Raw genomic sequence first — 13,732 nt, forward strand, 5'->3', positions numbered from 1 at the left:
CAAGTTCAAAGTTCCGCAGATCCCTAGAGCAGGGGCACAAGTCTGCCAGTCTCTTTGCTAAAGCTTAGCAAGAGGACCTTTATTCTAATTTTCAAAAAGTTCCTCATCTCCGTCTGAGACCACCTCAGCCTGGACTTTATTATCCATATAACTATCAGCATTTTGGTCACAACAATTTAACAAGTCTCTAGGAAGTTCCAAACTCTCCATCATCTTCCTGTCTTTGGCTGAGCCCTCCAAACTGTTCCAACCTCTGCCTGTTACCCAGTTCCAAAGACACTTCCACATTTTCAGGTATCTTTATAGCAATGCCCCACTTCTCTGGTACCAATTTTCTGTCTTAGTTCATTCTCAAACTGCAGTAAAGAACTACCTGAGACTGGGTACTTTATAAAGAAAAGAGATCTAATTAGCTCACAGTTCTGCAGGCTGTACAGGGAGCATGACGGGGAGGTCTCAGGAAACTTACAATCATGGCAGAAGGTGAAGGGGAAGCAGGCATGTCTTACGTGGCTGGAGTAGGAGGAAGAGAGTGAAGGTGGAGGTGCTACCCGCTTTTAAACAACCAGACCTCATGGGAACTCACTATCATGAGAACAGCAAGGGGGAAATCTGCCCCCATGACCAAATCACCTCCCACCAGGCCCCTCCTCCAACATTGGGGATTACAGTTTGACATGAGATTTGGGTGGGAACACAAATCCAAACCATATCACCCTGCATACGTCCAGCAACCAGCTGGCTCTGTCTGCCACTTGGGACAGGTATCATATGTCTGCCTTACCTGCCCCAAACCCACGTTTGAGAAATTTTGGGAATGCTGATAATCTCCCAGTGGCTGTCAGATTACAGCGAGTGGCAAATGTGGGGGGTGGGGGTGGAAGAGAGTGGGGAAAATACAGGTAAAGGAGAATAAACTAAAAATACTGAAACCAAGCAGAACCTACATAGCAAAATACTTACTTTTACCTCTAGAAAGGAAAATGAAAAATATGGCTCCATGGTAGAACTTTTACTCCCAAAGCTAGACTGAAAAAAGATCGTGTTTGTCCTATGGTTGGTCTGCATAATGTACAAGCTTACAAATGGTAGGCTGTCCCCAACTGGCTTTTTTCTAGTGTTTAAATCACATTTTGTATTTTCCTTGCATTGTGCCTGGGCCATGTGAGACAGTTTAGATAAAAAGGACTTTATTTGGTACCACAGTTTTCAGTCTTTCACCCAACTCATCTGGAAAGACTGAACAGAAATGAGACCGGGGTCTCTGAAGAGGTCAGCATCCATACTTTTTAGTTTAGTTGTTCGGTCAGCTACTGAAACTCCAAAATAGCTCTCTGCTGCTCAGCCTGTTTTGCTTCTAAACTGTGGCCTTGGCAAACACCTTACTGTATCAACACACACTGGGTGCAGAGACAGAAAGAGCACGGGTCTGCCTGGCGTAGTGCCTGCCTGTTTGAATGAATGAATGCATGAATGAATGTAATTTCAAGTCTTGTATCTATCACCTGCCAGCCTTGACCTTCAGCAGGTTTCTTTGCATCTCATTCATTCACCCAACAGATATTTATTGATTGCCTCCTGGGTGCCAGGCACAAAATTAAGTTATGAGGATCACAAGGTGAAAAAGACAGCATCTGTTCTTAAGAAATTCCAGTCTGGTAAGGAGGGATCCTTCCAAGAGAGTAACTGGCTCTGTATACTGAGGAGCAAATTATAGGTGTGCTCACTCCCTTTATCTCTTGTTTTCTCAGACTGGTGGCTTGTGGCTTGCAGGACTGCCCCCCTCTGCTTTCTGTCTTAGCTAAAGTGGTAAGGCCTGTTAGATCACACACTCCATTCTGTGACTATTGCCAGAGACCTGTATCAAAAGCTTTGGTCTTTACCTTCTGGAATTCCAAGTTTTACTTTAAATGTATATGTATGTGTATTTTAACAAATCAGGATATTTTCCTGTTGTCAGGCTTCTGGTAGCTTTCCTGCTGTTCACGTGTTGCAAAGACTCCTGGAAGTAACTTTTGATCACACTGGGGAGAGTCTCTTAGTGCCCTGGGGGGTAATTCTTCTAGTCCTGTATTTTTTGTCTCTCTTAAAGCTGACAGGTGGCTTACATTGTTCTTGATTTTTCTGATGTTTGTTCTCCTTTGTCATGTTAGAAATCACAGCGGGAGTGGAACAGTTATGTTTAACTTAAACTATTTCTGGCCCACATGTCTGTTTGTGAATGCAGGGAGTGTTCAGATTTCTTGGGCAGTAGGCCACATGGTGTGGACAAGAGTATAAAATTCAAGTTTGTCATTCATGATAGAAGAAATGCAGAAAAAAGTCCAGTCTCCTGTTGAGTGTAGTAAACTAAGCGTAGAGGCTTTCTGCTAACTATAGTTCCAAAATACAGCTAGCATTTATTGAGTACTTACTGGATGCTAGGCATGCACCAAATGTTCTACAAGGGCTGTTTTACTTAGTCCTTAGGAAAACCCTATAAGATGGATATTCGTATTGATCCCATTTGCAGGTGAGAAGCAGAGAGTTAAGTATCTTGCTTGAGGTCACACAGCAAGTAGTGAAGCTAAGATTCAAACCTCGGCACTAGATGTTACTTTGTATCCACATCTACCTATCTTATATTTAGGTTGGTGCAAAAGTTATTGCAGATTTTGCAATTTTAATGGCAAAAACCACAATTACTTTTGCACCAACCTAATACTTAGGTTAAGATGTTGCAGTCAGTGAAGAGATCTCCAACTGATGATTCATGCGGCTGTTTTCCTCCTCAAAACTTTGTAACAAAAGTATTTTATTTCATTCTAATGTTTGTGGGGCATGTTTCATTGCTAATAATTCTCAAGGAAAATAAATAATCCAAGTCCTGGCTTAGCATTTTTCTGAGCCTGTGGGAATCATGCTGACCATCGTAACAAATGGCCAGTCTCAGGTGTGTGTTGTAATGAACAGGAAAAATAGGAATGAAATCTGACTTTTCACCCTCAAGAAATAGCTGCATTAGAAAAATAAAATAGCAATGAAGCTTGAAATATGTTTTGGTGTAAGATCTGTAACAGGTAACCTGGCCAGTTTCATTTATTCTGAATTTATTCCCATTACAAGCCTTGAATGCTCCCTGGGCTCTCTCTTGCTAAATCGATGTTTTCAGAATTCTCAGTGGCTTGAATTTTGTAATCTGAGAAATCAATCAAGTGCCTCCGGAGAATGCCATGTCTTATTCTACTCTGAACCTCCAAACGCCTCTTGTAATTAAGTATTAGTTGGAGTTCATTGCACTTGAATAATGAGGTGATGTTTGGGTAGGTTTCCTTTGTTGTTTTTTTCTTGAGGAGCACAGCTTCTGTTTTTCTGGTTAGCTGAATCACAGTTGTCACAAAAAAATGCTATGTAAAGCCTCCCTAATTATAATAGTTAGCATCTCCAAAAACCAAATTCAATACTTTATGGTCATTAGTGTGTTGCTGCAGTCGGCATGCATAGCCCTGGCATGTGTAGCGTATGCCCTGTGATTATGGAATTTTACAATTAAGCTTTGACAATGAGAAAAGGGCTGAAGGAGTTGAATTTGTTCCTTTTTAAAATGGTCTGACTTGCCTGATGACCAAATGAATGGCTGCATAACTCTTGTTATAGAGCAAACAGTGTGGTCACTAGCTCTTTCTGCATTTGCTCTGCACTATATAATTTTCTTGCCATACCACAGTTGTTTAACAGGGATAATTGGTTAACAGTGAAATGTATGTACAAAATCATATAGAAAAATAATCATTGGCTTAAATATTATATTTACTATTAAATAATAATATTAATAAATATTAAGTAATAATAAAAAAACAGACCTCCATGTACCCAGCACTTGGTTTAAGAGGTTGAATTTAACTATACCCTTAGAAATCCTACATTACCCTCCTGGTGGCTGATCCTTCTCTCTCTTACTGTGGCCATTATCTTGAGATTTTCAAAATTATTTCTTTGCTTTTCTAGATAGTTTTACATGTGCACACATACACATGTATACATTCCTAAGCAAATTATTGCTTAGTTTTTCCTGTTTTTGAACTTTACATAAAGGGAGTCACACAGCATATGTTTTGTGATTTGCTAATTTTGCTCATTATTATTTTTTGAGATTCTTCTATTTATTGATGTATGTAGCAGGAGTTTATTCATTTTCTTTTCTTTCTTTCTTTTTTTTTTTTTTTGAGACGGAATTTTGCTCTGTCACTCAGACTGGAGTGCAGTGGTACAATCTCAGGTCACTGCGACCTGCAACCTCCACCTCCCAGGTTCAAGCTATTCTCCTGCCTGAGCCTCCTGAGTAGCTGGGATTACAGGTGCCCACCACCACACCTGGCCAATGTTTGTATTTTTAGTAAAGACGAGGTTGCACCATGTTGGCCAGGCTGGTCTCGAAGTCCTCACCTTAAAGTGATCCGCCCACCTTGGCCTCCCAAAGTGCTGGGATTATAGGTGTGAGCCACCACGCCCAGGCTAAGTTTATTCACTTTCATTTTTATCTGCCACTTTAAGCCATGACTATACCTCAATTTAAAAAAAATCATTCTAATGCTCATGGACATTTGAGTCATCTCTAGTATGGACCTATTATAAAGTGTCAGCATGAATTCTTTTTGTGCTTCTTCCAAATATAACTCTCAGATAAATTACTTGCAGTAAAATTTTTGGGTCATTTGCTTATCTTCAGCTTTAATAACTAATGACAAACTGTTTTTACACTCTCACCAGCAAGTTATGAAAATTCCCATTGCCCCACAGTCTTGTCGGCACCTAACATGGTCAGAATTTAGTTTTTGCTTGTCTGAAAGATGTATTGGTAGCTCCTGGTAGTTGTGATATGTATTTTCCTGATGACTACTGAGCTAGATCATTCATTAGTTTAATGGATCTTAGCTTTTCTCTTATATAACATACCTGTTCATGCCTTTTGACCATTTTTTTCAATTAGGTTGTCACTTTTTTCTCATTAATTATTAGGGTTTTAAAAATATTATGGATATTAGTTCTTTGTTGGTCATACTTGTGGCAAATATCTCCCTTTCCTTGCTTGTCTTTTCATGTTCATTTTTTTTTTTGCCTTCCACAAAAAAGGGAGATGTTTGTGTATTTATTATTTATTTTTCTTTCGTGGATTTATTAATTCTTTTATTTTATAATCCTTATTAAAGAAAGAGTACATACACATTGTAGAAAGTTAAAATATACAGAGAAGCAAACTTTTTAAAAAGAACTTTACATTCCTACTGCCCTGAAGTCACCAGAATTAGCATCTTATGCAGGATTTCATATTCTGAATTTCATACCTGTATGTGTATGTATGTACAGTTGACCCTTGAACAACACAGGTTTGAACTGTGAGGGTGCACTTATATGTGGATTTTTTTTTTCAATGAATATATTGAAAATTTTGGGGGGATTTGTGAAAATTTGAAAAAACTCATAGAGGAATCACAAAGCCTAGAAATCTAAAAGAAAAATTTAAAAAGCTATGTCATGAATGCATAAAATATATGTAGATACTACATCTACATGTATCATTTACTATCATAAAATATACACAAATCTATTATGAAAAGTTAAAATTTATCAGACCTTACACATACAAACATAGGTGGTACGTGGCATCATTCGCAGTCAATAAACTTGAAGCTGCAGTATTAAATCACAGCTGCGTAAGATTAACTGTAGAATGCGCTGCACTTCTGTGGTAATTTTATAGCCACCTCCCATTGCTATTGTGTGAGCTCAAGTGTTTTGAATATCTACCTAAAACACCGTGTGGCGCTGATCACCTTCACGTGAGCAGTTCGTGTCTCCACGAAATTGGCGGTGGGCCACAGTGAAAGTGATTTCTCACAGTTGTCGCATATTTCCCATTGTGTTTGGTGCAATGTTGTAAACCTTGAATAACACCATGGGACTTATGAAGTGTCACTAGTGATGCTGGAAGTGCTCCCGAGAAGTGGAGAAAAGTCATGACATTACAAGGAAAAGTCAAACTGTACTGACTATGCACTATAGGTTGAGGTCTGTAACTGTGGTTGCCCACCATTTCAAGATGAATGAATCGAGCCTAAGGACCATTGCAAAAAAAAAAAAAAAGAAAGAAAAAAATCATTTGTGAAGCTGTCACTGCAGCTGCACCAGCAGATGTGAACACCTTATACATTTTCTGAAATATTAGGTTAGTGCAAAATAAGTTGTGGTTTTTGACATTAAAAATAATGGCAGACTGGGCGCAGTGGCTCACGCCTGTAATCCCAGCACTTTGGGAGGCCGAGGCAGGCACATCACCTAAAGTCAGGAGTTTGAGACCAGACTGGCCAACATAGTGAAACCCCATCTCTCCTAAAAATACAAAAATTAGCTGGATACCGTGGTGTGCACCTGTAATCCCAGCTACTCAGGAGGCTGAGGCAGGAGAATCATTTGAACCCATGAGGCAGAGGTTGCAGTGAGCTGAGATTGCACCACTGCACTCCAACCTGGGTGGCGGAGTGAGACTCTGTCTCAAAAAAACAAAAATAAAAAAATAGTGGTATTAATTTTAATGGTAAAAACTGAAATTATTTTTGCACCAACCTGTACAAAATATGGGTTAATTGACCATTTGTGTTATCAGCAAGCCTTCTGGTCAACAAGTAGGCTAGTAGTAAAATTTTGGGGGGAGTCGAAAGTTATACTCAGATTTTCAATTGCATGGGGTGTCGGTGCCCCTATCCCCCACATTATTCAAGGGTCAACTGTATATGTAATCAAAACAAATTTTCAGTCACCAACCTCCAAGTTTTCATTTGAGTAGATTTCCTCTCACCATATAGGTAAACCATCTTCAAATTTTCCCAGTTGACCAGCAGTCCTTTAGCGCTTTGGTCAAACAAGTATCCAGTCTAGGACTTATTATGTATTTGGATGAACCAAGTTCTCAATGTTAAAGTCAGTTTTATCAGTCCTTTGCTTTGTGATTAGTATTTTTTATATCTTTTTAAACACATGTCTTTCAATCCCAAGACTGTATTATCTTCTAACAGTCCTATAGTTTTGCTTTCTCCTCTAAATTCATAATCCAGAATTGATTTCTGGGTATAGTAGCAGTCCAATTTTTTTTCCATATGGATACCGGCACCATTTATTGATATTCACTGACCTACAACATATCATGACCCCTGCCATATTTCATGTTCATGTAAGGATGGGTCTTTTTCTTGGCTTTTAAAATTCTGATTCATGGGTCTGTTTGCTTATTCCTATACCAATGCTGCAGTGTCCTAATCATTTTACCTTTATAATATGTCTTGACATAATAAATTTTATAATAAGGTTTAAATAAGACAAATCTCCTTGGATAGATTAGGATAGGTTGGGCTGTCTTTGGGTACAAATTTCAGTGGCTTAAAACTCAAAGGGCTTCTTTCTTGCTCATGCTATGCATACAGTTGTGGTCATTCAGGGTCCCAGGCAAACAGAGGCTGTGTTACTATCTCAATATGTTCTTCCACATGAGAGAAGAGAGCATGGAGAATCACTTGTCAACTTGTAATGCTTTCTCCCAGAAGTGACACATGCCAGTTATATTTACATTTCATTGGCAGAGCTACTCCCATGACCACACCTGATTTCAAGGGTGCAAGGGAGTGTAATCCTTGCATAACTGGAAGCAGAGGATTCTACCACATCTCTCCCATTGCTTTTCTTCGGAAGTGTCTTAGCTATTCTCAGCCTTGAGACCCATTTTGTCAAGTTCCATGAAAACCCTTACTAAGATTTTGATTGGGATTTTAGTAAATCTAGGGTTCAATTTGGGGAGAAGTGATATCTTCCTTTCTAAGCATATGGTATATTTGTCTATTTATTTAGGTCTTAATGTCTTTTAGTGGTTTTATCCTTCTCTCTTTAAAGGATTTGCACATCATTTATAAGACTAATTCTTTGGTGTTTTATATTCTTATTGCTATTATAAATTTTATTTTTTAAATTACATTTCCTAGCTAATTATTTTCTGGTGTCCAGAAATGCTGGTGACTTTGGTATATTAATTTTATTAATGCAGAAATTTTGAAAAACTCTCCTAGTAATTCTAATTACTTATCCATAAATTATTTTGAGTTTTCTACATAGAAAATCATACCACCTGCAAATAAGTACAGTTTCATTTTTTTCGTTTCTAATTCCTAACCCTTTTTATTGAGTTCTCTTGTCTTCTCTAACTAGGGCTTCTTGTGCAATGTTCTAGAAGTGGGGATAGCAAACATTTGTGTCTTGTTACTGATCTTAAGGGAATGCTTTAAACGTCTGACCAATAAGTAGGACTTTTTTGCTAGATATTCTTTATCAGGTTCCTTCCATTTCTAGTTTGCTAAGAATGAACTTCGAATTTTGTACATCAAAAAAAAGTGATACTTTCCCTTTGATGTGTTAATGCGGTCATTTATAGTAATCAATTTAAAAAATTTTAAACCTGCTTTAATTCCTGGAATTAACCTACCTTGGCTAAGATGTATTCCCCTTTTACTCAATGCTAGATTTGGTTGATAATATTCTGTTTAAGACTTTTGTAAATATGTTTTGAGTAATATTGGTTGGTAATTCTCATTTCTTGTACCATACCTGTATGGTTTTGGAATCACTGTTACTAAAATAAGACAGATGTACAAAATAGAAATATGAGACCTACAAAATCCATGAAAATTGTTTAAGATATAAATATACATTTCAGGCTGGGCATGGTGACTCACGCCTGTAATCCTAGCAGTTTGGGAAGCCAAGGCGGGTGGATCACCTGAGGTCAGGAGTTTGAGACCAGCCTGGCCAAATGGAGAAACCCCACTTCTACTAAAAATACAAAAATTAGCCAGGCATGTTGGCAGATACCTATAATCCCAGCTAGTTGAGAGGCTGAGTCAGGAGAATCGCTTGAAGCCAGGAGGCAGAGGTCGCGGTGTGCGGAGATCGCGCCACTGCACTCCAGCCTGGGTAACAAGAGCGAAACCCCATCTCAAAAACCAAACCAAACAAACAAACAAACAAAAAAGATGTAAAGATACATTTCAGTGAATGATAGATCAAACATAAATTGGAAAATATATAAGACTTGAATATCATAGTTAACAAGCTTCATAGAATAAATATCCCCTCATTTTTAATTCTTTGTAAAGAGTCTATGTGAGTTGATTTATTTTTTGGAGGGATGCCTGGAAAATATGTCCATGAAAATGTGGTCCTAGATTTCAAAATATAGAATCAGTTTACCTAGAGTTATAAAAATCTTGAATTTTAGGCCGGGCGCGGTGGCTCACGCCTGTAATCCCAGCACTTTGGGAGGCCGAGGCGGGTGGATCATGAGGTCAGGAGATCGAGACCATCCTGGCTAACAAGGTGAAACCCCGTCTCTACTAAAAATACAAAAAATTAGCCGGGCGCGGTGGCGGGCGCCTGTAGTCCCAGCTACTCGGGAGGCTGAGGCAGGAGAATGGCGTGAACCCAGGAAGCGGAGCTTGCAGTGAGCCGAGATTGCGCCACTGCAGTCCGCAGTCCGGCCTGGGCGACAGAGCGAGACTCCGTCTCAAAAAAAAAAAAAAAAAAAAAAAAAAAAAAATCTTGAATTTTAAAATATTTTTGTCTTGAGATATTTTAGTAATTTTTATTTGTTTTTAGAACTTAGTCATTTCAATTTATTTCATTGGTCTTTTCAAAGAACTGGTATTTTTGCTTTGAGCCTCTTTACTGTATGTTTGTTTTGCTTTTCATTATTTTCTTTATTATTTTTCTCTTTCAATTTTGAATGTATTCTGCTGTTCTTTTAAACTTATTGTTAATTTAAATGCAGTGCAATAATGCTCATCTTGTTTTTCTAACAAAAACAATTTAGCTATAAATTTTCCTTTAAATGTTGCATTAGCTATATTCTATAAGTTTTAATACATATTATTTTCATTAATTTTAATTCTGGATATTTCTAATTTTCATTGTTTTCTTCTGTGACCCACAGTTGTTTAGTAGAGCTTTAAAAAAAATCCCAAAAGTAAGATATTTTTCTTGTTATATCTTCAAAATAGTTTATAATTCAATTGCATTATGGTCAGATAGAGATCTATACAGATAACCAGTCCTTAGATCTTTGATTAGCTTTGAGAATTAGCATAAGGTCAGTTTTTATAAATATTCTATATGACTTTAAAAGAACGTGAATTTTAAAATTGTTGGACACAAAGTTGTTATATGTCTATTAGAACAAGATTGTTAATTTGGTGTTCAGATCTTATATGTCCTATCTAATATTTCTGTTTTCTGTTTATTCTTAATTTGTCAATAGCAAAGATGTGAATTAAAATTTTCCACTATTATGGCAAATGTTGTAGTTCTAGGGTATTTGTAATTTCATCAATTTTTGATTCATATATTTGGAGTGATGTGTAAACAGTTTAGAATTGTAATACTTCCTATTATACCTTCTACTACCTGTGTAAGTCATGATCATCTTTATCTCTAATATTGCTTCTTACCATAAAGACAATCAAACATTAATATTTATACAGAATTGTATTCATTAATATTTGTCTCATTTTTCTTTCTTTTTTGTGTGTGCCCTATATTTTATGTATGTATTTAAAAAATTTTTAAATAGGGAGCAAATTTCTATTCTATTTCTTATAATTACTCACATATTTAAAGCCTTATTCGTATATTCTTTATATACTTCTTTGTCCTTTCTTATACTGTTTTTATGTCTGAATTCATTATTTTCCTCTTTTAGTTTGAAAGTTCTATCAAACCTCTAGTTTAACACACATAGTTAACGAAGTCTCAAGTTAATACCTTTTCTTCCTTCTGAGCAATGTAAGAACATTAAATGCTTTAACTCTGATCGATAATATGTTCTAACCTATTTGACAATGTTATCTGGTATTTTAATTCTAGCTTGATTCTTTCTCCTTCCTCCCAACAAACCACCAACCTCTGCATACTTTAACCCACAGATATGCCAGTATCTTTGCTTAGCATTCCCTCGTGTATCAGCCTTACAACTTTCTGCCTAAAACATATCCCTTACATTTCCTTTGATTTGTTTGTGTGGTGTGTGTGTGTGTGTGTGTGTGTGTGTGTGTGTGTGTGTGTGTGTGCTGTATGCTCTGTGTTTTTGAATTTCCTAAATTGTCTTTGATTTCATTCTTGGAAGATGGCCTTATTCAATATGGAATTCTAGTTTGACAGTTACTCTTTCTTTCTGAACTTTGATGATATTATTTCACTGGCTTCTAGCTTTGATTTTTTGGATCTTTTGAAGTCATCTGTGAGTCTTAAACTGCTGCTCCTTTGTAGGTATTCTTTTCTTCCTTTCTGCATGTCTTTAACAACTTGCTTCTCTTTTTGTGTTGTAAAGTTTTATTAATACTGTGTCTAGGTGTGGAGTTCCTTTTATGTATCTTGTTTGGGATTCATTGGGCTTTATAAATCTCAAGTTTGTGTCTTTCAATATCCTGAGATACCCTCTGCCATTATCTACTTGAATATTTCTTCTTCTCCATTTTCTCTATTACTTCCTCCTCTAATTTAGAATTTCACTTAGATATTTGTTAAGGCCTTCTCACCACATCATCCATGTCACTTATCTTTCCTTCATTATTTTTCATATGTCTTTTTAAATTTTTAACTACATTCTGGATAAAATTTGAATCTATCTTTCAATTTGCTAATTCTCTACTTAGGTTTGTTTTACTTGCTATTTAATCCGTCTACTGAGTTTTAAAGTTTAATTACTATATTTTTCATTTATAGAAATTCTATTTGGTCTTTTTAAAACTCTATTTTATTATTCTTTTATAATGTTTGTTTTCTGTCCTTAGTTTTAAGCTTCTCTCAAATTTCTTCAAGCATATTGCAAATAGTTATTTTATATTCATGTCTTGTAACTATACTATCTAAACTTGTTATTAGCCAGTTTTTCTTATAGGTTCTCATTTATGATGTCCTAAATCTTTGTGTTTCAGTTTTCTTACTCTGGGCTTTTAATTTTTCCTAGAAGTTTATTTTTTGGAAATACTTTGATGTCTGGGTTGAAGTTGAATTCCTCTAGAGAGATATTTTGCCAATTGCCTGACAGCACTAACTACCCCAGGACCACTCAAAATTAACTCCCCACTTAAGGTTTTTTGGAGACCATATGAGAAGCATGAATTGGATAGCAAAAACCTACGAGAGTTGGCTTGTAGTTCTAAAATCTCTCCACATAGCACAAAGATGGAGACAGGCAGGTGTCCTTGCCGTTTCCTTCTGAAGGGCAGACTTCTTTTCCTACTTATTCTTTTTTTTTTTTTTTGTCAGACGGAGTCTCACCCTGTCACCCAGGCTGGAGTGCAATGGTGCAGTCTCAGCCCACTGTAACCTCCACCTCCACCTCCACCTCCCGAGTTCAAGCAATTATCCCACCTCAGCCTCCTGAGTAGCTAGGATTACAGGTGCCTGCCACCACGCCCGGCTAATTTTTGTATTTTTAGTAGAGATGGGGTTTCACTATGTTAGCCAGGCTGGTCCCGAACTCCTGACCTCAGGTGATCCACCTGCCCCAGCCTCCCAAAGTGCTGGGATTACAGGCGTGAGCCACGGCACCTGGCCTTTTCCTACTTAAGCAGGTTATTTAGTCTTTGGGGTGCAAGATTTACTCAGGGATCTTCTGTGACATTTTCCACCACAGGTAGTCCTGAGACTTTGTTTCTTCGTCCTCAAACTGGAAGCTCAAGGTCTGCAGTTCCCCACAGACATGCTCGGGGCCAAGTGTGGATCTCTGGCTTTCCTGTGTCCTTGCACCCTAGGTTTTTTCTCTCCCTTCATTTTTGGGAACCTTGTTTTTATTAATTTTTCTCTGTGTCAACATAGCGGCATGTTTAAAAGATTGTTTTAATATTTCGTCTAACATTTAATTATTTCAAACAAAATATATAGTCTGCTACACTGCTAGAAATAGAAGCCCTAGGTTTGGGAATTATTAGGTATTCTTGTATTTGAAAAGGGGAACTAAACTTTGGCTAAGAAATAGACATGTCTGGGTGTGAGACCAGATTCTGTATTCAATATTTCCAGATATTTGTTTCCTCAGCTTTTCTGATAATAACACCTTTTATTTGTATGTTGAATTTCTGTTTACAAAGTCCTTTCACACATATCAAGTCTTTGGAGAGTTGGCTGAAGCAGATGTTGTTATGCCTGTTGAGTGAATAGATGAGATTGTTGAGGGGGACACCACACTGATTTGGAACCCAAGTCTTAATACCTAGAAGAGTTCTATTTTTGTTTCAATGCCATCTTGGATTAAATTATTTCAAAGAAGTTAGCAAGTGGATCTCAATTTGTTGTCTGGGGCAAGTCACTGCTTGGACACTATCTTGAGGGAGATCCGGAGCCCAAAGCTGGGTTTTCTTCATGTTGTTGCTGTTTGTTTGTTTGTTTTTTTGATAAAGAGTTCATTGATCCAGTTAGCAGTGTCTGCAAAAGTTACAAGAGATGAAAAATGCAACTTATTTGCTTTCCCAGATTTAAAATGGCCTTCCTGACTTTAAAAAATTCACAGTTCTCATATAAACATAAAATATATCTTTCTAAATTCAGATGGCATAAGTAATGGAAAGACAGACTTTGCTTATTTCAAATAATGAGGCTACTAGTTCTATTTATGGTCAGCTTCCTTTGTGGTGTGTGAGATGAGCATGGAATGGTC

At 37.2% G+C, this 13,732-nt stretch overlaps 1 protein-coding gene across 15 annotated transcripts in view, besides 1 other annotated feature; it reads left to right on the forward strand.

Annotated features, from left to right (window-relative positions):
- Nucleotides 1-13,732, forward strand: part of PLPP4 (phospholipid phosphatase 4) — a 135,112-nt gene that overhangs the window by 97,268 nt on the left and 24,112 nt on the right. The window lies entirely within an intron of this gene.
- Nucleotides 1,658-2,392: an enhancer, noted in NCBI's record as "OCT4-NANOG hESC enhancer chr10:122315391-122316125 (GRCh37/hg19 assembly coordinates)". NCBI's record gives its function as "activates a minimal SCP1, AML or CMV promoter by ChIP-STARR-seq in primed H9 embryonic stem cells {active_cell/tissue: H9 hESC(primed)}" and the evidence as "EXISTENCE:reporter gene assay evidence [ECO:0000049][PMID:30033119]".

Source organism: Homo sapiens, chromosome 10, assembly GCF_000001405.40.
Source record: "Homo sapiens chromosome 10, GRCh38.p14 Primary Assembly".
Lineage (NCBI taxonomy): Eukaryota > Metazoa > Chordata > Mammalia > Primates > Hominidae > Homo > Homo sapiens.